The sequence below is a fragment of the Homo sapiens genome, chromosome 1, assembly GCF_000001405.40.
Source record: "Homo sapiens chromosome 1, GRCh38.p14 Primary Assembly".
NCBI lineage: Eukaryota > Metazoa > Chordata > Mammalia > Primates > Hominidae > Homo > Homo sapiens.
The window spans coordinates 216,510,247-216,536,971 of record NC_000001.11 but is presented as its reverse complement, the minus strand read 5'-3'; the positions used below and the strand labels follow the sequence as shown (position 1 = coordinate 216,536,971).

The 26,725-nt window shown below is 36.3% G+C and overlaps 1 protein-coding gene across 56 annotated transcripts in view; it reads left to right on the top strand.

The window, feature by feature from the left end:
- Positions 1-26,725, top strand: part of ESRRG (estrogen related receptor gamma) — a 634,457-nt gene that overhangs the window by 600,731 nt on the left and 7,001 nt on the right. For all 56 annotated transcript variants that reach the window (XM_017000625.2, XM_047449371.1, XM_017000622.2 and 53 more), the window contains one exon: positions 17,551-17,820. In XM_017000625.2, the coding sequence (XP_016856114.1) occupies positions 17,551-17,820 (270 nt within the window). The remainder of the gene's footprint in view (positions 1-17,550; positions 17,821-26,725) is intronic.

Genomic DNA, 26,725 nt, shown 5'->3' with positions numbered 1-26,725 from the left:
CACTGCTTACAACAGCAGCTCCTCTTTCCCCATGCCCCATCCCAGGGCCCATTTTCCCTCATAGTTTTGTATTCATGTTTCTCTATTGCAGTATTATACCACTGCCTGCTATATTTTTATTTATTCCACCCCACCCCTTGAATATAAGGCCCCAAAGAATCCATATTTTTCTTTTGTTGCATTCATAATGCCCAGCTCATGATAAATGGAAGCACTAGCATGGTGACTGGAATTTAGTACTCAGTGAATTTTACAAATTTTAATAGTAATAATAATTGTCATCATCATCATTCTTACCAAAAAATGAAGAAAGAAAAGTAAATTGGGCCCTGACAATGAAGGATTCTGTGGACCTCACAGAGAGAAACCATCACAACAAGGAAGAGGTGACCCCTGATTAATACAGATCTAGAAGAAAAGAGACTTGAGTCAGGGAAATCATAAGTTGGGAGGCTATTGACTTAGTTCAGGTGGAAGATAATGAGGAACTGAGCTAGACAGTGGGACTAGAAATTAGTTTTGGAAATGAGATATTTCATAGGAAAAATTAGACATAGAAGTCAAAACATAGCTAACTCCCAAATTTCAACTCTGTGTTGTTCAGTATTTAAAAATGATCTAAGTCTGGGAGGAAAATGAGTTCAATTTTAGACATTTTGATATGAGTTGCCAATGAGACATTTTGATGGGAATGACCTGTAAAAAACCAGAAATATAAAGGCTTGCTCTTTGGGGAGAAGGGGGTACTGGTGATATAGTTTTGTTACATCCATAGATATGTATGGATGGGCAGGTAGAGGAAGAAGAGAAGAAGTGAACACAGAATTATTTAAAGTATTACATTAAAAGGATTGGCATAAAAGAAGAAAGACCAGGAGAAAGATGTCTTATCAGTGCAAAAGGAGGAAAGAGCTTCAGGAAGTAAGAGAGGGGTCAGTCTGGACAAAATAGTCCAGAGAGATCAAATCGGATCTGAACAGGCCATGGGATGGGGCAATTAGGTCATTGGTGATTACAGTATGATAGAGCTGAGATGCAATCCAGACTTTAGTGGAATGGAGATGAATTTAGTGCAAAAGTGCATGTACACCATTTTGTCAGGAATTTTCGTGGTGAAGGGATGCAGTGAACAGAGAGGGAAAAAGACAGATAAACAGATAGGCAGACAGACAGAGACAGAGAGCTAGCTATTGGGGAAAAGCCAGTATGGAAGTAAGATTTTATCAGAATAGAGGGATGAAGGAATGGAACTTGAGGAGAAGGAGAGATTATAAGTATAAGAAATGGAGAGGGGCCAAGTAGAAAATTGGTGGATCAAAATCTTCAAGGTGGCCAGAGCAGATGGATTGAGAACATAGGAAAGGCCTTCCTTAGGAAGAAAGAGCAGTCTCTTTAACTTACAGACAAGTGAGAAGGTGTTAAGAATTAGTCCTGCTACAGACAAGAAGGGAAGTAGGTCAAGGGTATTTATATCTGATGTCCTTCATTTATCTAAAATATGGGAGGTGAGATCATGTTTGCAGGATAAAATACACTCAGCCTTGATTCGGGCAGGAAGACTGTCCATTCATGCAGGAAAGGCTTGTTTTGGATTCATGTTTTCCCTGCCCATATTGAGGAACATCAAAGATGTTCAGTGGAAGGTTTAGTCTGGAGCATACCATAGACCAGAGAGAGCATCATCCAGTCTAGCAACCTTATTTGGCAGATGAGGAAATTGAGCAATTCAGTGACTGCCTGAAGTTTACACAGCTAGTTAGTAGCTGAGATTGCACTGAAGTCAGCTTCTCTCACTCTTAATCCATACTTTCAGTGAACAGTCTCAAGCTGTGCTTTCTGGAGACTTGATGTCACTTCAACCAATATTACATTCTTTTGCCTATGAACACCCTTGCCTCTTACATACACCCATACACCCTAACTCTCTGTCAGTCATCAACCCCACACTCAGCCTCCATGCATCCTGCTGCTTTTCTTGCCTTCTCTGCATGGTCCATCATTTCAGTTTGCAGGCTGACTTGGATTGACCCACTGATGGGCTTTTCCTTTGGGATAAGCCACATTGCAGACAAGCTATCTGGTCGCATTCGTGAAACGAGCCAACATGAGGCTGATGCCGTCAAAAGGACCGAGGGCATCAGCTCCATGATGTTGCCACAACCTAAAGGCAGAGTTGAGCTAGATGTTCCCTGGAGTGTACCCCTACGGTTGTCAAACGAACCTCCTAGATGACCTTTTTACATTTATGTGTAAAACAACTTATGGAAATGCTTAATTCACCAAAAGAGATATGTCAGAAATACGTTAAGCAGAATAGTTGCATCAGTTATTCGGCTACATGAACTCCTACATTCCAAAATGAGTCAATACATGTGAACTACAAACGTTTTAGTTATGTATAAATACAATGTTATTTTCCCTGCCTACATTTCAGCATGAATTTTTGTTGTTCTTGAATTATTGTTTTAAAGATATTAATATCCATGAAAGAGATACTCATGAGCTATAATCGAATTTGTCTCAGAGTACTTATTTTGGATTGCTGTGTTAGTGCTATGTGCCAGGAATAACATCTCATATATCTAGCTTTCTCTTTCACTACTGAAATAGACATTAGGATATCTGAGTAGTCTCTGCCCTTTAAATAATGCACTAAATACAATGCTCATGGACACCCTTTCCTTCTCTCATTTGATTTCGAGATACGGAGAATAAATGAGATGTTCACTGGGGTTTTGCTGTCTTTTATAAAATCCACCCCATTCTGGAGTGAATGAGCGAGAAGCACAGGAGGTGGCCTTCGTGGGAGCAACTACCTTTCCCAAGTGTCTCATCCTCTCTCCTCTGTCATCCCCAGGCAATGTGCCTGCATTTGTGTGTGTAGATTTATAGTTTATCTTTATCTATGGCTTCATCTGTAGGTAGCTATTATAGCTGCCTCGCCTGGATATTGTTTGGGCCTGATAGATCTGTCTGTAGTTCATCAAAGAGGAGCCTAGTGCCTAAAAGCCATTGGGTCCAGCTGAGGATGAATTACGAGCCATCAGCCTTGATAATGGCTGTAAAATTTCATAATTACATGGCCTTTATTACATTGCATAATGATCCTGAAGCAGTATGGAACAATTAATTAAGATTTTCAACCGTGGCTCTTTCAGAAATTAAAAGGTGCTAGTAGCTGAAAAATGGGATCTGTCTTGTCCTAAAAGCATTAGGGATGCTTAGGAAATACTTTCCAATTGCACTTTTATTTTTTGTTAAGAGGAACATCCGCTAGTTAGGGAACATGCGTTAGTATACCCTGCCTATTATCGAGTTTTTATTTCAACTTCAAAACTGATACTTTAAAAAGAATGGGAGTAAAAGAGGCAGCTAAGGATCTCTAGAACTCCCCAACTTCCCTTTTCTTTTCTTTGAAAAATTCTATTCTGCCTCCTGCTGTAGCCATTTATCACATTTATGGTTGTTCATCTCTACACATTAAATAAATGCAGGCTCTGAGATAGGGGGTCAGTTAACTGCCTACTATAGTATACTGACCAAGGAGTTTTTCTTATACACTCTCTCATATCTTGAGGCATTAAAATTCTTTCAAGATCTCTACAGTTTTGACAGGCATCCCCAAAGGAAGACTTTACCGTTTTCATTTATTATCCTGCGAATGCAGCATGTCACATCTAATATATACCTTTTATTTTTTTTTCATCTCATCTTCACACCCCATAAAGAATAATTAAATTTGGTGAGGGCCTGTAAGTGCCACTAGGAATTTGCTACATTTAAATAATAACAGAAACTAAAGTATTTAGTATTTATACACATGGATGTGCATTTACACATACAAATTATAACCCATCCTGGACTTTATTTTCTATCAAGGAAATTATAATTGAGCTAGTCAGGTGCAATAAAATGCTAAAGAAAAGATAGTGAAAACAAGTCCAATATTTTTATTATAATTATTCTAAGCTGTATCCCGAGCTTTCATCCATGTACTCGGTAAGAAATAGATATGCTTCCAGGAAACATCATCAATGGTATTGTCAATTTAAATGAGAGAATATGAAAAAAGAAAACCCCCAACCTCGTTGTGATTTACACATAACTTCTGGATATTTGTTCCCGTCAAGTATTATTGTTTTTAAATTGACAATCATCATATAATGTTTTACGGATCTAAATATTTCATGGGAGACTAAAACTTCCCTTGGGCCTCCCCAATAATAAACTTTCAGCAGAAAATTTGGAAAGGATTATGTGCTTCAAGGAGGAGCTGGTGCTCAGAGTAAATTCTCTTGTTGAGGCATTTAGTCCCTTAATAGGAATTTTCTGATCTGCTGTCATTCTTACTCACACACCGAGTGTCACTGCCTGTAAAACACTTGTCATTCTTTAATGGAAACAAAATAGTCATTGCGGCCAGAGCCGCAATGTCATTCCACTACCCCTTGCTGCGTCGGCAATAGTGAAAATGACAGAGCAGCTCTCAGTAGGGGTAATTAAAATGTAAATATTGATATTTTATTATTTGAAATTACTTTCCAGTGCGGCATTTAATATCCCTCCATCTGTGCAGCTCTGTTTAGCGGTCACTTTAGTGCAGCTCTGGGATACCAAGCAGCGGCTTGATCCCCGTTATGTCAAAATGCTTGTTGCTGCTTAATTTTGATATCTAATTAAGTGGAAAAGTACAGTCCACACTGTAATCCATGGCATCTTAACCAGCTGCTTGGGTATATTTAGAATTAATCTCCACTATGGCATCATCCTAATGTATGCAATTAAGAGTCTGCCGATGGCTAATTAGGTGTATTAGAATCAGGCAGCTTTTTTTTTTTTTCCTCCATTTCTTCTCCCCCTTTCATTTTGGACTGTTGTAGACAGAAGAGTCTCTGCCTCCAGAGGTAATGTTCATGCTACTCAAATCTAGTTAGGAAACAGGACAACTTCCAAATATGGTAACCCTTGTATTTTCCTTCACGTATTTCCTTGAATCAACCTGATATAAAAACTTCTAGGATTTCCTGGGTTTTTTTTGCAGGGTTTCAGTGACATGAAAGGAAATGGTCACAGCCTAGGAGAGAGGTGGGATACAAAGGTAAATGCACTCTCCAGCAGATCAAAGCGGGAAGGTTAGAGGGACTGCTGTGGGTGCTCTTGTTTATTTGGGGAGGAGAAGAATTATGGCTTTTAACTGCAGCTACATTTGCCTTCTCCATTCTACTTTGAATGGAGGATCTTCACAGAAAGAATTATTATAAGAGGCACAGGTTTGGTTTGTGTATCATATATCCATAGTAAATATATACCACCGGCAGCCTTTTACCACTGATAATGATTCTGCATTCATATGGTTGAGGAATTCCGAGAGCTGTGTTGTTTGATGTTTTTGTTTTGGTTTCATTTTAACTTGGCTAGTCATCCAAACTGGGGATAGTGTAGAGAGGAAGAAGGGAGGGCTGAGAGGAATCGAAGGGGTTGCCTCTATTGTCAATGAGAAGATAACTGGTCGCCTCCCCAGTGGAACGTATGCCAAGCCATAATGACTTAGCTCTGCTTGAGCCAGCAAACACGAGCCGTGAACTTGGGAGTAAATATTCACAAACAGATCTTCATTAGCCGCAGAGAAAAACAGTGTGGGAGCCTGACTTTAAACCGAACTCTCAGAGCTAGAAATTCAGAGAAGCTGCTTTTCCATGCTGTCCAGAACACAAATTATGCCTAGGTCTTTAAGCATCAGTAGTAAGGATTTCTAATATTATTTGAGTGTGGAGTTTCAGGGTCAGCATGCTATAATTTCATATCTGTGACAAGCATCTCATGGATAACATATTTCTTCTACGTTCTTTCATGAATACATATGGCACTTTGTTTTTAATGGCCTATGCTGTAAATCCTTTAACTTCCATTTATGCAGAAGACCTCCTGTTTTGTTTTGTTTTTTCTGCCTCTCCTCCTCCTAGGGCATATGTTAAAGACACTGAGTTATAGTTTCTATTTTAGGAAAATTGAGAAAAGCACACCTGAAGGATTTTCATTTTTTTTTCTGCTTTACTTGTAACTAGTAATAGTAAGACAAGAAGAGATAACAGCGTTAACTCCACAAACACCAAGTCTATAATAATTAGTGCTTTTATTGGAATTTGTATTTCTATATCAAGGGACCAATTAGGTAACTCTGAAAGGATTTGAAGTTATGTTTTTAAAGGCAGTACAGAAATTATAAGCAATTTTTCTTTTAGGGATCCAAGATAGAATTGATTCTTGGTCATTTCAGTGAAAGTACACAAGATAATCACAACTCCCTTTTGTACGTGGCAGCTTAAATACAATTTTCAAATTTTTAGGTTAACCCATATGAAATGACCCAGGTTCTCACAATGCCTGTCATTCTGTGCTTAATGTGCGTGTAGGTGAGGCCTTCACAAACGGGAAAACAGTTACACAAAGATCTTTTTGACAAGATACCCTGAGCCTTAAAGCCAGCAACTCTACCTTCATTAATGCAAGCAGTATTAGGAAAAACTTTGAACTTTCACCTTACTTGAATAGGCAGTGTTTAATCCAAAATCAGACTGGGGTCCAGTGAGCACTTCTCTTTTCCTTCTAGTTTTGTCTCTTGTACTACATCAGTGAAGATAGATAGATAGATAGATAGATAGATAGACCTTAATATATCTATCTATATTTTAATGTTAATTCACTACAGCTTATTTCAATTTATTCAGTGTGTGGAATGTGCTTTTTAAAAGGTTCTTACAATATTAGACTCTAATGTTGGATTACAAATAACAGAAATGAAGCAACCATGGCAGTTACTATTCTTTCCCCCACCCCCTTTTTTTTTTTTTTTTTTTTTTTTGATGGAGTCTCGCTCTGCCACCCAGGCTGGAGTGCAGTTGTGCAATCTTAGCTCACTGCAACATTTGCCTCCTGTGTTCAAGCGATTTTCCTGCCTCAGCCTCCTGAGTAGCTGGGAATACATACCCATGCCACTATGCCCAGCTAATTTTTATATATTTAGTAGAGATGGGGTTTCACCATGTAGGCCAGGCTGGTCTCGAGCTCCTGACCTCAAGTGATCCACTCACCTGGGCCTCCCAAAGTGCTGGGATTACAGGCATGAGCCACCGCACCTGGCAAGCTAAGTCACTAATTATAAATTTCTTTTAATTGTGGGATATTCCCAAGAAAAGCAGTTCATTTCACCTTTAAAAATATTATTATTAAACTTCACGTGTGGGAAAATGAAAATTCATAAAAATTCATTTTATACTTTAAATATATTTTTGAGTTAGAAATAGTGAAAATCAAATCTTAAAAAGTAGAAAGGAAGGCAGAAGTGCCAATAATTTGTTGTTTGAAAAAAGTTAACCAAAAATTACAGCTGGGATTGCCTCTTCGACAGCTTTAAAGAGTTTTAGAGGCATGCCTATCTCTTTTTGAAGCCCGACAAATGACATTTTCTAGTAATAACATATTGGTTAGTTTATTAAAACTTTGCATGACTTAAAAAGCATATTTTTGATCCTAAAATGTATATTCACAAAATTCATCTGCTTGTGTTTCTCCTCATATCTCTATTTTCAATGAAAAATTATAATCTTTAACAGAATAATTTTCTCATGAATCCAAACTCTCAGCCAGCCATAAATGGAAAAACAAAGTTCATATCAAAATAATGTGATCCTGGTTCTGACCTATTAAAAAATGTTTTTGGTTCCTGCTTCATTTCCTCAAAGTCCCACCTGATTTCTTTTAGATTTAAATAGATTCTGCTTGACTTGCCCAGATTATTTGCATAGAGCTATCTATAGTTATGCAGGTTCCCACAGCAGGTAGAACTGGTTCCTGTTTGAAATTATTATGTAAGAATGGATACACAAACTAGTCTGATAAACCTGAAACATGTCTAAGTGGCATTTAAATTACATTAACACCTGTGTGTAAAGACACAGTGAAAGGACATAACAGACAAGAACCCTCCTTGCTGTTTGTAACTGTCTAATCTGCTGCTTTATCATAGGAAGGGCCCTTACTCCCTTGGTGCTGCAATGACTGTAGTGTTGCAAGTACTTCTGACAAGTGAGTGTTTACCTAGTGAGGACCCATTGTTCTAAACTGGACTGAGAAGGGGACGCCTTATGTATGCATTTTTATTGCCTTGTCTCCTCCTTGCTGTTTTTGATTCAGAGTGAAGCAGCCCATAATGATAAAATGCCAGGATTTCTCAATCTTCTTGCAAGTTTTTTAGTGTGGAAAATGTTCTCATGAGAAGCTCCTTCTTACACTTGACAAAAATTAGGTTGGGATTGCCTAAAAATTTACGTTAAAAAAGTAGACATATTATATTTTATTCCTGCAAGTAGAAAGAAGCAATGAGCATTGTTTTCATCCATGACTTCACTAGGTTAGTATTTCAGAGGCTTAAAATGCAAGCTACAGAACATAAATGTATACATATTGTCAAAATAATTGTACAACTAGGATAGGTAGATAAATTAATGACAGTACTTATAAATAACAAAAAAGTAATTGTGACATTATCATGAAGTCTGTTGTGAATGGTTACTTATAAATATAAGAGAAGCAGCTAGTCCATATGACTGAAACATCAACTTTACTTCTAAATTGAAGAGAACTGGCTGAGGTTAATAAATTTAGGCAGGACTTTATCAGAGTCTAAGTGGCTCCAAATAAAAATCCTATATACTTTATAGGCACTTATAAGAAAAGAGCATTATACGAAATCAGTGCCTTAATAAACATTCATTGAATTAATGAAAAAGCATTAGGCACCCCTTTTTGTTATATGTTGATGTATTTTCTGTGGGTGAGGGATCTGGTTCCTGCAATGGTCTTTTCATTCCTAACGTCGCATCTTTTTGAAAGCCAGTCAATGAGCTGTTGAGGAATTCTCTATTCATTCATTTAGCACATATTTACTGAGCGCCAGCTATGTGACAGGCACTGTTTGAGGAGCTGGAGACATAGCAGGAAACAAATCAGAGATCTCCACCCTGAAGAGTTTATCTAGAACACAGCAAACCACTGTCCAGAGGATACAGATACATCTATCAAGCAGCAGATCTTCACATCCACTCCCTTACTTCAGGGGTCACTTACACTCAGCTCTGTGTCTCCTGCTTATGTCTTCATCTTCATCTTCACATTTATATTTTACAAGTGCCCTTAGATGCTACCCAGTGACAACGATCATGGCAATGAGAATGGAAAGAAGTGTGTGTATTTGAGAATGATTTCACATGTATAAAAGAGAAAACTTGGTGAGAGATCAGTGAAGGGCCAAGAGTAAGGTGGCAGGTGGATGGCGGTGCTTAGGGAAATAGTGGAGCTGTAGGTTTTGACATTAGGATTAGGAAAATGAGCTCACTTAACATGTTAGGACATCCATGGAGGAATTACTAGAGGAAGATTTTTTAGGAAATATGGCAGGAAAAGGGAAAAGGAACAAACAATGAAAGAAATTCTGTGTTCTACCAGAGAGTTTCAGTTTTATCATGTAGGAGATATGGAAACAAAGAAAGCATTTTGATGAGGGAATGGCATAGGTTTCATATTTTAAAGATTGCTTGACTAGCCCTGGGTAGGATGGAAGAAAGAAATACAAGATATAAAAGGATTTTGGTAAGGATGCTGTTAAAATTTACCCCAAAAGGATGATGAAGGCCTAACCAAAACTGGAATGGAGGGGAGGAGAGAAAGTGATGGATATGGATACATTTAGGAGAATGTGTACAACCAAGCACTAAACTCTCCTTTTCTGCATAGACATGTACTTGGATCCATCCTTGCAATACTTTTCTTTTTTGGTTGTTATGGTCTTATCCACTTTTACTGTGCTATAAAATCTTAGATGACAAGGATTATGTCTTATTCATTTTGCATATTCCAATGGTACTGAACATAGTGCTTCACTTGTAATAGATACTCTAAATACTAGTTGATTTGAACTTTGTCACAGTAGAACCATTGGAAGCCTAATAATTTAAGGCTGAAATAAACCTTCAGGAATACTTTTTCTACCTTCTAGTTTTACAGATGAGAAAGCAGAAACCAGCAAAGTTGAGTCATTCCTCAGTGTTTCACAGTTCTTTGGTGGCAGAGATGGCACCCAATTCTAGGTCTATTTACTCCCAGTCCATGGATTTTGTCTGAGGTGCTCACCGTTACCCAGACAGCCTTGTGCTTCATGATTAGCTCGGTTTGTTATTCTGAATTAGAAACTGTTGGAACTGGAAGATTCCTCAGAAGTGTGTAGTCCACAGTTTGCAATTGACAGATAAGAAGGTCACCTGTGGGTCTGTATTAGTTTGCTAAAGCTGCTAAAACAAAGTACCAAAGACTGGGTGACATAAACCACAGAAATATATTGGCTCACAGCTCTGGAAGTTGGAAGCCCAAGAGCAGGTGGCAGGAGGTTTGGGTTCCTTCTGCGGGCTCTGCAGGCTAGTCTGGTCCATGCTTCTCTCCTGTCTCTCCTGGCTTCTGGTGGCCTCAAGCATCCCTTGGCTTGTAGGTAGTATTCTCCCTGTGTCCTGACATCATCTTTCCTCTGCACACGTCCATCTCTGTGTCCAAATATCCCCTTTTTATGAAGATACAGTCATATTACATTAGGGCCCACTTTAATGACCTCATCTTAATGTGATCATCTACAAAGACCCTATTTCCAAATAAGGTCATGTTCCCAGGTCCTGGAGGTTAGGACTCTAACATCTTTTGGGTGGGATGGCACAAGTCAGATCATCACAGGGGCTAAGTTAATACCATTGGTTGTAGTCAGATCTCTAGACCTCAAAGTTATAGTTCCCCTCACTATCCTCTCCCCTCAGACATCACTTCCTGACTATAAACCTTTATCTTACGGGCATTTATTGCTAAATGTTTTCCACAGACTCTTTAAAGGCTTGTGGAGATATCTGTCAGCTTTCTCCAAGGTTCAAGATAGAGCCTGTATGTGTTTATTTTGGAGGCTTGAATTTTAAATTATTAGACCAAATTTGATGGGGACCCCTTGGGAATTTCCTGAAGAGGATAGTGTTTAGATATCTGGTTCCAAAGTGGGACTGGTTTTCTATGGACCACTGGTCAGTTCCCTGAAGCACTCTGATATTTCTTGACCTAGTTCTACCAGTACATTGGTAAAGCAAGTCAGATTCAAGCATAGATCCTTTTTCTTTCAAATCAGAAGTGTGGCTTCCAAATGGTGTTTTTCCCTATTCAGTATCCATCTAATCCCAAAGTTAGACTGAAAAATGCCTTTTTTAAATATATTTTTTAGAGTCCTATATTATATGGCATTGCTTTCCTATTTTCTTGATGGCCAAACAAATTTCAGTCAGTCTGCTTTCCAGGCAGAACTTATTTTCAACTAGTAAAAAATAAAGGTTGTAGGAAAAGAAAGCCATTAGATTTCCCTCTTTAACTTAAGGCAGCTCAGCCCATACTTGCCTCCATGCCCCCCCACATTTTTTCTTTCTTCTTGGCTTAGATGAAAGGACAAAAGAAGTAAACTTGAGGTCAAGTAAGAGGGAGTTTGGGAAAAGCTAAGGGAATTATTTCAGATCCTCTCCAGTCATTCAGAAGTACTAGGTAAGTAGGGGTAAGTAAGGACTTCCAAAGAGGAACTGCACACTCCGTGTAGATGGTCTTTACATTCTTATTAGGCATTCATTGGCCCTGTGTCTAGTACTTTTCAAAGTAGGCTGGCAGTTGTTAAAAAAAACTCCCACTCACAGGAAAAAAACAAAACAAAACAAAACCTCTTGTCATCATGTTGAGTCTTTCCTGTATTGTCACTTGAAATATTTTTTCTTAGCTGCTATTGTATTTTAAATTTTTCTAGCAAGCTGATTGGAAAACCAGGAATAATTGCTAAAGAAAGCATTTCACCACGTCTATGGGGGCATGTTTTCAATTTCTGTTCCTATGATTGGGCTAATTGTAAACTCATTTGGTTGTTTATGTAATCAGCATGAGTAGTCAGTGGTCAATTGCACCTGTAAATTCAGTTAACAGTGATAATTCTGTTTTGGACTGGTAGATATTACCTTTGCGTTTCTGTTCTCCTCTCTTTTAGTTCCTCACAACTGCTTAGATCATTTGCTCAGTTTTATGGAAGGTGGTCACTTCTGCCCTTATATACAAAATTGTATTAAAACCTGAGTCCTGCCTTTTAGATTTTAGGAATATGTACTTGTCTTGTTTGACCACTATTTTAAAATAATAGTTCCATAAAATCAATGTGAAACCTAATTAAAGTATAAAAACAGAGATAAAGAAATAGATTTCTTATGGAATCAACAAATGTTGAAACAAATGACTAAATTAGCTAGCAAGGGACCTATTTTCCATTTTTGTCAATTATTCTTACATTTCACCCAATTGTGATTGAATCTAAATTATTGAAATCTGGATTAAGGTCAGCCCAAAAGAGTAAAGATTCAAAGAATAGTATTATAGGTATTGTATTTAAGGCTTAAGTACAAACATAATATAATCATTATCATCTCTTTTAAAGAAAAATTTTAAATAAAATGCTTCTGATAGCACCATGTAGATGTTCCAGCTTTCACTTCTGCAGTTAACCATCTGTAGCTGCTTAACTCTAGCTCCTACTGAGTTCCAGTTCATGAAAAAAAAGTGTGTGTATATATATATATAGTCTCCTGCAAGAGACTATATATATATATATATAACTTACATATATATATATATGTATATATATATATAAAGTTTCCTACAAGCCCCTGAGCTGTGTATTTTGTGAATCATAGGACAAAGTGATATGTCTGCCCCATATGTGAAAAGAACATCTGGCTTAAAAATACAAAATAAGTTTATCTCTAGCAAGGGTTATGCATCTGTGTGTCTATTGGTAGCTAAGACCAAATGTTAGTGCCACTGTTATTCTTTTCTTCTCTGGGTCCTGTAAACATTAGGTTTATTTGTACGGGAAAGAAAAGAATCTAGCTTACGTTGCATTGCTTAATCAGCTTCTCAAAATGAACTTCATTTGTGATCTCAGTGAGTCATTATGGCATAATTACAGTTCTAGCATGATATGCTAGTTGTTGAAAAATGTTGATTTTTTTTTTTTTTGTGGAACAGAAAAACTACAGTTCAAAAACTGTGATCAGGCAAGTCAATGCCATGATTAACTGATATTAACAGATGCCCTGAAGATTTAAAATGCTTGCTCTCTATTTCAAGAAAGCAGCCGAGAAGAAAATGCCTAGCAGGGGTTAAACCCAAATGCCTGCACTGCAGCCTATTTCTGTCAACACTCTGTTCAGGAAATAAACATTTATGCTTTCTGAAATGAAAGTGTATTTTTGAAGACTAGCCGTCAGATATTTTTTGCCCTTCACACTTTCAAATGCTTAGCCTTTTTTGTAAGTTGACTGCAAAGTGCATCAGTTTGCCAGGCTAAAAAAAAAAAAAAACAAAAAAAAAAACAGTGCTTGATGAGTGCCCATGGCACCACTGTCAACCTCCAAAGTTTCCAGTAGAAGAAGGCAAGACGGTTGGCACAAAACATGCTTTCTTCAAGCCTATTACCTCAGGGGTACCTGCCTCTTGAGAAGCTTTTCAATCCTTCCAAATGATGTTATTCCCAACTGTCATCTGGTTTATTTGGAGCACACTGTATTGCAGATAAACATGCTATTTAACTGCGGGTCAAGGTAGAGAGTCATTCTGCAAGCAAAATGCCTGAGATACATTAAATGGCACTGACTCTGGGACAGAGATGAAGAGAGATCCGAGTTGTCAGCGATATGCAGGGAATGGGCTATAGCTGTGGAAGAAAAAATGTGCCATGGTATCAGTGCATTTTAAAAAGCTGTAATATGGCTGAACATTTAAAACTATAACCTGTCACACACCAAAGATTAAGGTCCCAGGATGTACAAAACATGAAGTTCAAACGACACAACTGCAAAGCATATTTTATTTCACTTGGGAAAGAGGTTTCTCTCCAAAGATAGCTAAATATTACAGATGATGAAGACCTCTAACTTGTAGCCCAAGAGCTATAAACTACCATTAAATACCTGGTATAAACATAAACAAGTAATTATCATTTGGATACAAGCATGTGTAAGCCAATAGAGCAATTATGTTTTAAGAAAATTCCTTAGACTCAGCTTATTAAAACATGCATTTTCATTTAGGCCTTGGTTATTTAGAATTTTATACATTGTTCAGGTCTATTGATAAAAATGTTATTTTATCCATGCGTTTTTATGTATGTGCAACGTAGCTAGTACTCCTAAAGAAAAGGTAAAATAATTTTATGGAATTAAGATAAAATTTCTATTATGTATTTGGTCTCCTTAGTGACCAGATGAACATGACTATCTTATAACAAGGCTGTCTTAACTGCTGCTCAGGCATTTGGGCAGGAGAGCTCTTTGTACTAGCTTCCAGATTGCAGTGGTGTGGTAGGAAAGGGGTAAAATGAGAGCCAGCAATTTCTAGACCAAGAAAAGATAGAAGAAGTTCAGACTTTTATTTTATTTTGTAAGGCATAGATTGTCCTTTTTCCTTTGGATTTGCAAAAAGTATACTTCCTTTAATCAGCTGAAATATACTTGAGGATATCAATCAAGCAAATGTGTCAAACCTTTTGTGCTATATCCGTCTCCTCATGCTCCCTCACCAAAAAAAAAAAAAAAAAAAAAAAAAAAAAGGAGAGCTGTTTCTTCCCCTTTTTTCCTTCTCTTTATTTCATAGAGAAGCAAAAGGAAAAAGTTAGGTTTGCAGGAAGGATAAACACACACACATGCACACACATATACACACACACAACCATCAATATAGAAGAAACAAATTGCAGGATCAACTTTAAAAATGAAATTTTATTGTTTTTTGTTCAATTAAACCCCAAAGAAATGTGCGAAATGTTGTTATGGCTGTAACATTGTTAATTTGTAAATCACAGGGACAAAGGGGGCCCGGTGCAACTTTAAAGTTTCCGTGCACGTAAATGTCGCTAGCGTGCCTTCTCCATCATCAGCACTAAATTCACATTGATGCCTCTTTTCTTCTCCGTATTGATCCTTCCATGAGAACGTAGATTTGTATCTGTTAATTAATGTGTCCTGAAACAGCGTTTGTATTAATCAGGCAGATAAGAAAAATTGGATGCCTGCACCCCCCTGACAACCGTAAAAGTGCTGGCCCTGATAAAATCGTGGATGGACCTCAATAAAAAAGTTCCTCCTTCCACTCAATAAACTAATCATCCTGCTTTTAATTATTCGGCAGAAAGATGTGTGGAGATTGGAGAATGTGTAAATCTATTTACTAACAGCAGTGTCTGGGAGGGAGAATAGGGCTGTCACAGGAAGGTGCTGCGGGCTACACGCTCTGTCCATCTGCTGCTGCAGAGAAACTGCGACTTGGGAGCATGAAAAGGAACAAGAAAACTAAGGCAAATTGAAAAGACCCATTCATTTTTGCTCCTAACTTTCCAGATGATTTTTTTTTTTTGGTATTTTAATTTACACAAGAAATTCTTACTTAGTATGTTTTCTTGAGATTGATATTTGGATTTGCATTGCACCTTTTTTCCTTGGAGGGGAATAGAAAAAAGAGCAGTGTGGTTTTCTGTTTGTTTGTTGTGAATATAACATTGCTAAAATTAAAAGCATCTGGAGCCTAACCTATTTAGGTTAAATAATTTAGTTTTCTGTGTTGAACCGCTGTTTAAAATGTTATCAGCTATTATATCTCTAAGAGGATATTTATTAATTTAACCCCAAATGCAATGACAAAAGCAGAATAAGAAACAAGACTTACACAGCCAGTCCAAAAGAAATCCTGTCAAATAACATGTAAGCACCATGATAAACAACGAAAGAAATGCATTTTACACATATCTTAAAGATTCCCTTAAGAAAAGCTTGACTCATCTCTTCTGATGATTTTATTAAGCACTTATAATTAATGGTACCAAATGGCAAACCACTGTTTTTCACCAATAGGTCAGGAAATCCTTTCCTTTTCTTTACTGTGCTGTAGTTTCTAATATCATATGGGATACCCACAATTTGATATGATTGAAAAGGACAGCAACAGTGACCATAAGCAGCAGCCTAAAAAGGTTGGGCATCAGTGGCTACTTATGATTTGGATAATAATGTCTAGAAAGGGAGTAAAAATAGATTTCTTAAGTTGCATTATTAAAAATGGTCCTTCCTTTCTGTAGAATTACTGGTGGCAGGACCTTAAATGATGGTACCACTGTCCTCAGAAGCCATGAGGTGGATGGTTACCCTTAGAAGTCTTAGGCATACACTTGGAAATAAAAGTGAAGTTTTAAGAAACATTTCTTTTTTAGGACTTGAGAAAAGCTTCTGATCATCAGGTATCTTCACTTTAGAATACAGATCTAGTCCCTCTGATATATAAATATATATCTTCACTCCTAAGTAGGCTTAATTGTACTGCTTCCTCTTTCTCTATTGAACAACATTTTCTTTTTAATTTTTTTGCATATGTTTTCTCAAGCTCAGAGGGACTTTAAATATGCGTGTATGAATGCATCCCAGATTTGCAGAAAAGAATTGATCACATAGGTAATTCAGATAAAAAGAACATATATTAATCATACAACAACACTTACTGAATTTCAGGTTATAGCTTAATGTTTAGGTAGGTGATATTTTATATTTCCCAAATACGAAATTTAAGAGACAAGTTAATTTCTCTTGCTCAAGGTGAAAGAGCCAGTAGCTAAGTGGAGCCAGTATTTACATTCAGAATCTGACTCCTTTGCACCAAACCCTGTTACCTTTATTTATATTTAACTTTTTAAATAATTGGAGCTTAATAACAATAGTGAACGAGGCTTTTCTCTTTGGTGGGGAGGCCAGGCTGCTACATATTACACTTTCTTTTATACCTATTATCACTAATTTTAAAAGAAAGTCATGTTAAATATCAGTGGGGAGAAATAGCCAATTAAGAAGGCTCACCTATTTGTAACTCATCATCCATTGTGCTTGTAATTATTAATATTATACAGAAATGTTTCCAAGTTGTGCTGAGCTCTATGGCCTAAATTGTTTGTTTACCTTTTATTTTTAGCTGCTTCTTCTTCTCCTTCTTCTTCTTTTTTTTTTTTTTACTTTTATGTTGTTTACCAATAGTAGTTTTTAGAGATGAGATAGTTGAAAATCTGACTTCCTGTAAGATTTTCCTAAAGACTTCAACCAGAAATCAAGTATATTTAAAGATTACATGGTATTTTCTTCTCGAATGAAAGAAAGCGACATCTCTATTATATTCCCCTAAGCTGTGTCTATAAAACTTATAGCAAATACCCACAAATTGAAGAAGCTGGTTTGTGACTTTCACTTTGCTGTTCGCAAAGTGATCCAGGGAAAATTTTAAGAGCTTCTAATCAAAGCTCAGCATAATTTTGAGCACTGATGCAGAAGCCAGCTACCATATGAAACTAATGTTGCATTATGAAATTATGGCTTTAAAGTAACTTGATCTGCCCATCTTTCCATGCAGGCTTCTCCACGCTGTCCCTGGCGGACCAGATGAGCCTTCTGCAGAGTGCTTGGATGGAAATTTTGATCCTTGGTGTCGTATACCGGTCTCTTTCGTTTGAGGATGAACTTGTCTATGCAGACGATTATATAATGGACGAAGACCAGTCCAAATTAGCAGGCCTTCTTGATCTAAATAATGCTATCCTGCAGCTGGTAAAGAAATACAAGAGCATGAAGCTGGAAAAAGAAGAATTTGTCACCCTCAAAGCTATAGCTCTTGCTAATTCAGGTTGGCATACTGACATAGTCATTGTTACATTTTTTTTAATATGTCAGTTTTACCCCTCTCCTTAACTTCTTTAGGGATTTGCTAGACCTGGTTTGTAAATTTTGTATGAGTCAGCAAAATTATAATCAGTATAGCTTTCTAGTGAAAAGTTAGAAATAAGAAAAATATACTTAAAGGGAATTAATTTCATTTGACTTGCTTATTGAATGCTTTGAAACTTTTATCAACTAATGCATGTACTAATTTGGATCATGGCAAAGCAAAAGCTCTTGTAGTAATAGCATAAATGGACACTCCCAGGACAAAATTATTTCTATTGTATTTTATGCGTAAGTTAAAACAAGGGAATTGTTGATACACACAAACCATTTTTCCCTCAAAAATGCAAATTGTGCAATTGGGAAAATATATTTAGTGTTGCTTTGAGTTTTGGTTATCAAAGAACAGTTTTCTTACATTCTGGAGTTCTTTAGAAGTCAAATTCTGCCTATGCAGTAAGGGTTAAGAATTATGGGAATAACTGGTCTTTACATTCGAACTGAAACATGCTAAAATAGCAACCTCTAATAAGTAAAAATCGTTGGTGCTTTGTTGTTTTTCCCTTTGTGCCTCTCTTAATGCTTTATTATGGTCTTAAGTCTCTTTTAGCATTTGCATAAAGTTCAGGATAGATCCCTCCTTAATGACGTGCCGATCATTAGATACCTGCGTGTCAATAACGTGCTCTGATGCTATGTACCACTGACAGTCACACCGTGCCCCTCCATCTGCTTTTGTTTTGACCCTATCTTTGAACTTTATCTTGGTTGCCGGCCAGTAGTTTTCCCTTTAATTACAAGAAGGAAACTGTCAATAAAATCTGTTAAATGGGATGCAATGAGTGGCTTGAATGGGCGGACGGCTATTTGTTCAAATTCTGCAGCATTCAAGGTATTGACAGTTTGTTTTCTGGGGCCATATGTGACGATCAATCTCAGGCTGGGCTCAGCCGCGCTGAAAAATGAAAAACCAGATTGCTTTTGCTTACTTGTGGATGACGACTTTGTGATTTGGCGCGGTCCTAGTGAGATGAGACCTTCTGCCCAAATTGCCCCCATGAGAGCCAGGGACGCGTGACTGTTTTTAGAAATAATTTTTAATTGATTTTGTAATTAACAGTTCATCTACAATATTGATGCATGAATCCTTAGACTGATAGGAGGGAAATTGTTTTCAACAATGGAGTTGTACTTTCCTATTTGTCTTCATAATGCAGTTTAGCATTTCACAGTTTTAATTGTGAATATAACCCTCTTCCTCACCACACCATGCACCTCTCTTCTTCTACGCTCCTGTGAAATTATAAAATATGATTTCTTATGACAAATGACATTGTTATTATGAACCCTGAAGAATCCCCTGCCCTCCCTCTCCAGAAGATCAAAGTGAGAGATGGGGTAGAAATTTTCTGAGGATTTATTAGTTTGTATGGACTTCACATTATACCATCTCTCATAATGAGATGAAATATTTTATAACAGTGGTTTTGGGAAGAATTTTTATTTGGCAATCATGAAACGATTCTAATTTAAAACATTTACTTGGTTAATTGTTTTTAAAATATACTAAAGCCTGTGTTAAATCTTTTATGTTTCAAATTGCTTTTAAAAATTATTAACTAACCATGAATGCTGAGCAATGCTAAAACTTTATCAACAAAATTGCTAAAAATGTATAATTTTAGATATTGGATGTGTACTTTATGACTATTATAATTTAGAGTAACTGAATTAATTAGTAGCAGCATTTCTGTCTCTGTTGCTTAGAAGTATAAGCATTAATATTTCTGATAGATAAACGTCCTAATCCACATATTCTACTTCTGGGAGAGGAAGTGACTACCTCACAGCAGTGACTGATGATTAGAAAGTCTTTAAAGAATTAGTTCATTTATTTTTCATGTCTAAAGTCAGAAATGGTCAATAAGCTCTCCTTTCTTCTCTTATCATGGTAGTTGAGTAACATTGCTTCTTCTAAAAAAAAGTCTCTGTCCCAAAATATTCTTGCAGGTGATTCCATCATTGACTTAGCCCCTCAATACGGAGAAAAATCAATTGAATCAGAGTCCCTACTAAAGAATAACTGATTAAGAACTCTAAGGACTATTTTAATCTCCAAATTGTGCCACCTCTACTGTGTTGTGTAATTATGGCCTTTTCTTCACCCACCTAACCTGCAAGCCCCATCATTTTAGTTTGGGGTAAACAACTCAGAAAGTCATTTTCTTTGATATTGTTAATATGATGTTATTTTATTCCATTTTTGACTGTTATTTGGAGCACAGCAATAAAGTTATAGATCCAAGATTGAATGTAGACTCAAACTTGCTTAGATCCAATGTAGGTTTTTTAAACTGCCCATACACATATCAGTATAAAAATATTTTAATACTTTAGACACCCTAAAGGGCTTCTATTTTTTTTGTCGTTTCTCTCTCTCTCTCTGTGTGTGTGTGTGTGTGTGTGTGTGTGTGTGTATGTGTGTGTGTTTAGGAATTCCAGATTAACATAAGTAACTTTTTGTGCAAAAATGAAAATCTATTTCAGTGTAATTTAGGTAGGTATCTTAGCTTTTCCTACATGGCTGTAGGTATTAAAAACCATTGACTCATTTACTTAAATTTTAGCTTATTTTAAACATTGGTCTTTATTCAATCATTATAAATGTTGTGCTTATGCTTGGAAAACAGGCAACTGGCTTCCTAATGATGGCTTTCATATTTTTATAGCTTTGTTTCTGTCATAAGTGAATTCAGGAATACTTATAACACCAGAACATCACTGGAAACTCTATCTTCGTGTGTGTGGCCAAAACAACAATATGTCATGAACTGTTATAATTCTGCAGTTTTCACATTCAAATCTTTGAAAACCCTAAATAATAGTTCCAATTACTTTTGAAGATAAGAAACTTACAGTCTCATTTAAGCTATGTATTCTCTTATTTTTTAGTATTAACAACCTCTTGAGTAATTATTACATCTCTGATATATCTCTGTGCAACTGAATTTTAAAAGAAAACTCTAGGTCACAATTTTAATATTGTAATTCTGAGGCCCCAGTTTTTTCATGTATATAACGAGGTTTGACTAATATCAAATTCTTTCCGATTCTGGAATTCTATGATTCTATAATTAATTTCATTTATATATTAGAAAATATAGTAAAATATTTCTATAAGCACCTAGGTAAGATTATATGATAGGATTTATTTCTCTTCATTGAATCTCTTGATTCTTATATTAAGAATTTGTTTGAAATTATATACTATAAGATTAAAAGCAGTTTAAGCTAATGAATCACTTTAGTCTGACAATTCTCTGTTGCTCGAGTCATAAGAACTTCAATCTCTAAATCTGCCACTCACATCACAGTCTTTGCCACCCCTACCCCACCCCAGCCTGAAGCCAGGTGAGTCCAATCCATTCAAGAATAAACATTTTTCAAGTCAAGTTTTCTTTTTTACTTCTACACATTATTTCCAGAATAATAGCACCTATTGATATCAAGCTACAAATAACAATTTGGTTATCAATTTAAAATCATAAATAACTCTAACAACCTCATGACAGCATTCTGTTGTTCTTAAGGACAAATGGTTATGTATGCAGAGTTGTGTAATTTCAAGGTATAGAAAGTTTATGATTGCTGTAGGATACTGGAATGGGCACCATATTTAATTAGGATATTTGGACTCTCATATAGGTTTGACTTAGTGTGTTTTCATTATCACTCCATTAGGGGAGCCTTTTTAGATATGGTTTTCCTAATAACCCCCCGATGAAATAGTAATGCCATCTATTTAGGATATATATATACACATACATACATACACACACATATATACATACGTGTACACACATCCATGCATATATATATTATATTATATATACGCATTTTACCTAAAAAGAGGAATATTTTCTACTCTCTAATTCCAAATTTCACCTCCTTTGAGAATACATCGCTTAAATACATAACTGTTTTCTCATCTGTAAAATAAGGCAGGTGAATTAAATAATGTCTAATATCCCTTAAATGGCCTGAAAATTTTAGATTGATTACTTTTAAGTAAAGGTGGCCAGTTTGGTTTCATACATGTATATATATGTGCATATGTAAGTGTGTGTTGTGTGTGTGTGTGTGTGTGTGTGTGTATAAAGTAAAACTGGGCCTTAGCCAGTTTTACAAAATTTTGACTAAATTAGTTGATTTGATATTCTGGAGATAGTTTTAGCTGCTGGTCAAGAGATTATCCTTTTTCAGAATCTTTCTGTAGACATTTCCTTTTTTAAGCTTCTTCTAGGGAATCTTATTTGATTCCCACAACATGCCTGTGCAGTAGGCATGTCCAGTACTATTTCACAGGTATGCGAAGAAAGCTGATAATCATGCATGGCTATTATGAGGCAGAAGGTGGGACCTTCTGTCCTTTGCTATCAATGAGCTATTTCTATTCCACAAATAATTATATACATGTTTCTAAAAGGATTAATGCAGAAGACTTTACCCATTACAATTTCACATCTGGGAGCCTAAATTAGTATTTTTAATTTGATTGAGAATTTCATGCCCACTTCCTTTATCTTGCCATCTTCTTGGAGTTAGAGGAGTATAAAACTACCCAAGAAAGTGACAAAATTGAACATGAAATGTTTACCAAGAAATTATAACATTTTATGAGAAATGAATATATGTAAGCTTTGTGTGGCAGGTAGAGCTTTGTTCCTAATTTTTACCCAGAACAAACCATAAGTAATACTATCAGGTAAATAAGAAATCAAAATTATAACTTTTCATCTCTTAGTTTACTTTTCATTGGTTTTTATTCAAGGCTGCCTTTACTGGATTATTTTAATTCTATTTAGAATAAGATATTTTGGAAGTGAGTTTTTTAAATTTAATACAACCCTTAAATTTTAAACATATTACAGTATTGCAATTTTTAGGTAAAAAACATAAAAGCTGGCTCTTAAATATTTCTTTTCATGTTCAATGGTCACTGTGTCTTGGCATAGTATCAGAAATATTTGCTGCAAATAGCTTTGGCCTTCCAAAGGTATTTACCTGAGTAAATACCTGGGTAATATGTGCTTATTACCTGGGCAATAAGCACATAAAATACTCTGCAGTTGCTTATTTCCAGGAAATGATTATAGCATAAGATAATGAGCTCTGTTACAAAACGTCATTAGCATGGTGCAGATCATCTATGATGTTTTGAAATGTTGAACTATTCACCACCCAAATTGATATCAACATTCACTTACCCAGTATACTATAATTGTCTTTATGACTTGTAGCAAAATGAGTTAAAAACCCCCTGGAAAAGTGTAAGATATGGAGAGAGAGATGGAAGGCCTTAAGTAATTATAGAAAAATAGAAAAGACCTAGCAGGTAAATCCCATTATGCAAGGTAAACATAACAATATTAATAGTAATTTGGGACTTGTAAGAAGCCTGAAGGAAAGAAACTACAACCACGACCATGGAGGTTTTCTGTGGTTCAACATTTTATATAAATACAGTCAGAGTGATTTGTGTGGCTGGTGTAAATGTCAAAGAAAACTAGCTTTTTAGCCACAGCAAGAAATAAGGAAAACAGGCCTTCTAAAAAAACTAACAGTATCTTAATGGAGAGCTCTGACATGGAAAGTTATATTATTGTCACCATGGTTAAGCAGAAAAATCAGAATTATTATTACTATTTTCGATTTTAAAATCATAAGATTTCTGGGTTGGAAGAAACCTAAACATTTTTTTGATTCAGCTCCCTACTTGATATGTGAAAGGCTTCCTTGATATTTCTGCCACCTGTTTCTACAGCCGCCAAAGAATTCTGCTTGATTCATTACTTTCTAGAAGAGACCATCCACCAGAAATTTCTTTCTCTCTCTCTTTTTATCTATATCATTTTAATGCAAAAGAAAACACAAAAACACATAAAAATATAGACCTTAACGAGTATATGAGTTTCTTATGCTACATTGACAAATGACCATAACTTGATGGCTTTAAATGACACATATTTATTCTCTTACAGTTCTGGATGTCAAACGTCGATCAGTTTCACTAGGTGTAAGACAATGTATGGACAGGTTTTCACTCCCTCTGGAGACTCTAGGGAAGAATCCGTTTCCATGACCTTTTCCAGCTCCTGGGCCTGAATTCCTTGGTGCTGAGCACCCTCCTCCGTCTTTAAAGCCAGCAGTAGCATTTTGCCTCAGTGGTAACATTGCCTTCTTCTTCCTTTGCTTCCAAGGACACTTGCTTTCATTGAGGGCCCACCTGAATAATCTAGGATAATCTCCCATATCAGGGTCCTTAACTTAATCACATCTACAAAGTTCATTTTGCCATAGCAGGTAACATTCACAGATACTAGATATTAGGACCTGAATATCTTCAGGGCCATTTTTCAGCCTACCACGATAAGTACATAAGCAAGGTCAAGAATAAAACTTGTAACGTAACCCCTGAAAGCCCTTCAAGTGTCTTGTTCCTATCTCAGCCCCTTCCCTTCCCACAAAAGTAATCACTATCCTATCCTGAGTTTTATAGTCATCACTTCCTTTTATTTTATTATAGTTTTTTTAAATAAATGTGTATACTTAGTTACTACAATTTAGTCTTGCTCATTTACCCATAAAAAAATTATGGATGAATTTTTAAGTCTGTACTCCAAAGTTCCTCCTTCATTTTATTTTTCCTACAATTTATTAGTTGAAGATGCCAGGGCATTTGATGTACATGGTTTTCCAGTGTCTGGATTTTGAAGATTGCATAGTCTTGGAGAAGTTCATCATGTTTTTTCTGCCCTTTGCATTTTGTGCAAATTGGCTACTGGATCCCGAGACTTAATCAGACTCAGGTTCTATCCCTATGGCACCTATAAGTGATGTATTGTTCATTGCAAGATACATAATGTTTGTTTCTGTCTCTTTTTGTGATGTTAGCAACTGTTGACGTTCATTACCTAAATTTATTAATCACTGGGGGCTGAAAAACAGTGATTTGTAATTTTGTTGTTTTTCTTCTCTTTTTTCATTCAGTAGGTGGGATATGTATAAAGTAATGCTTTCTCTTATCTCTTATTTGGTTACCAGTGTTACAATTTGTTTAGGAAAAGTAGTATAAATGCTTGATTATTTCTCTTTATTTAGCAGCTTTCAGAGTAAATAATTGGTGTCCTATTGAAAAAAATTATAAACACATGTACTCAAACATATTTAATGGATTTCAATCAGTTGCAATTATAATCCTTTTTGAAGCCCAAATTGTCCCATTTTTTTCAGTGGGAACCTCTTCGGGTTGGCTTCTGAAATCTTTTTGAATACCTCGTAGTTCTAGATAATATCCTTTCTATTCGGTGTGACAAAATATTCCATGTTCATTTTAAATATTTTCTGGCTGAAGCCTAGAATCAGATTACAACCTGGGCACTCAAGGTGCCTTCCAGGGTTGGCCATTCTTCCTAGGCCAACATCATCTGCCTACATAAGTACGGAGCTGGGGATGCAGACACACATAGACCTCATTGTGTATTTGTCTGTGTGTGTGTGTGTGTGAATTTATGTATATTTTGGGAATACCCTGTCACCTAGTTTTTCTGTAAATGTCCCTGAATTTTTAGTTTTGTCATGTAGTTGCTCTGTTTGTTGTTGTTGTTGTTGTTGTTGTTTATGTGATCATTTGGAGAGGTTAAAAAAATTCTACCATCTCTGTTAACTTAAAGTCCATTTGACATGGCAATCAACCAGTGTTCCTCAGTACCCTAGCCAATTGCTACCCGAAGAACCACTCTGTTAGGTGGCATATATATGGCATATGGAAATTTAAAGATACAAAGTATCTTTTAGAAAATAGACCTTTTTCCACTTCTCTATTCTTTCCATGACATTCTGTTTCATTCATTCAATGATTGGAGAGAGTCCCATTCACCCTTTCCTTACTACCCATCTTTATGTAGGCAGTTCACAAACATCAAAGAAAATCAAGTCCTGCGTTTCACAGAAAAGTTTACACTGACTGTTGGTTTATGTTATATACTAGGCTCGACTCTGAATATACTGTGCCTGTATCTAATATTCAATTCCATACTCAAAATGAGATTTGGCACTCTTGAGAAAGTATTGCCAAGAATGGTCTAAAAGTCCAGAAGAAAGTTCCCAAGCAGGACTTAGGTATTTTGGAGTAGCTATGTCTGTGCACACAATGATTAATGTTTTCTTCTTTTTTTTTTGAGACGGAGTCTGGCTCTGTCGCCCAGGCTGGAGTGCAGTGGCGCGATCTCAGCTCACTGCCATCTCCGCCTCCCGGGTTCATGCCTCAGCCTCCCGAGTAGCTGGGACTGCAGGCGCCCACCACTACGCCCGGCTAATTTTTTGTATTTTTAGTAGAGACGGGGTTTCACGGTGTTAGCCAGGATGGTCTCGATCTCCTGACCTCGTGATCTGCCTGCCTCGGCCTCCCAAAGTGCTTGGATTACAGGCGTGAGCCACCGCACCTGGCCCACAATGATTAATATTTTCTAACATAGAGAAGGGCAGTATTTTATTCAAGGGAAGATATAAAAATAAAATCTTCTTTTTCAGTGGCTCTGTCTTATTCAATTTGCAGCTGCAAGGATGATGATATTTAGCTATCTTCCCAAAGTAAATGATCTGAACTAGACACATTTTTTTAGGATCTCTTTCACAGAGTAAAATATTGGAAGTTTTGATAAAGTTCTATTTTATTATTAGGTGTTAGACTTAATATGTGGGCAATAATATGTGTTTCATATACACTCTGGTTATCTTTTGAAATATTTATTCTTTTAGAATAGTATTTGCTTGTCTTATTGTCTAATTCAGTAGTAGTTCTTAAT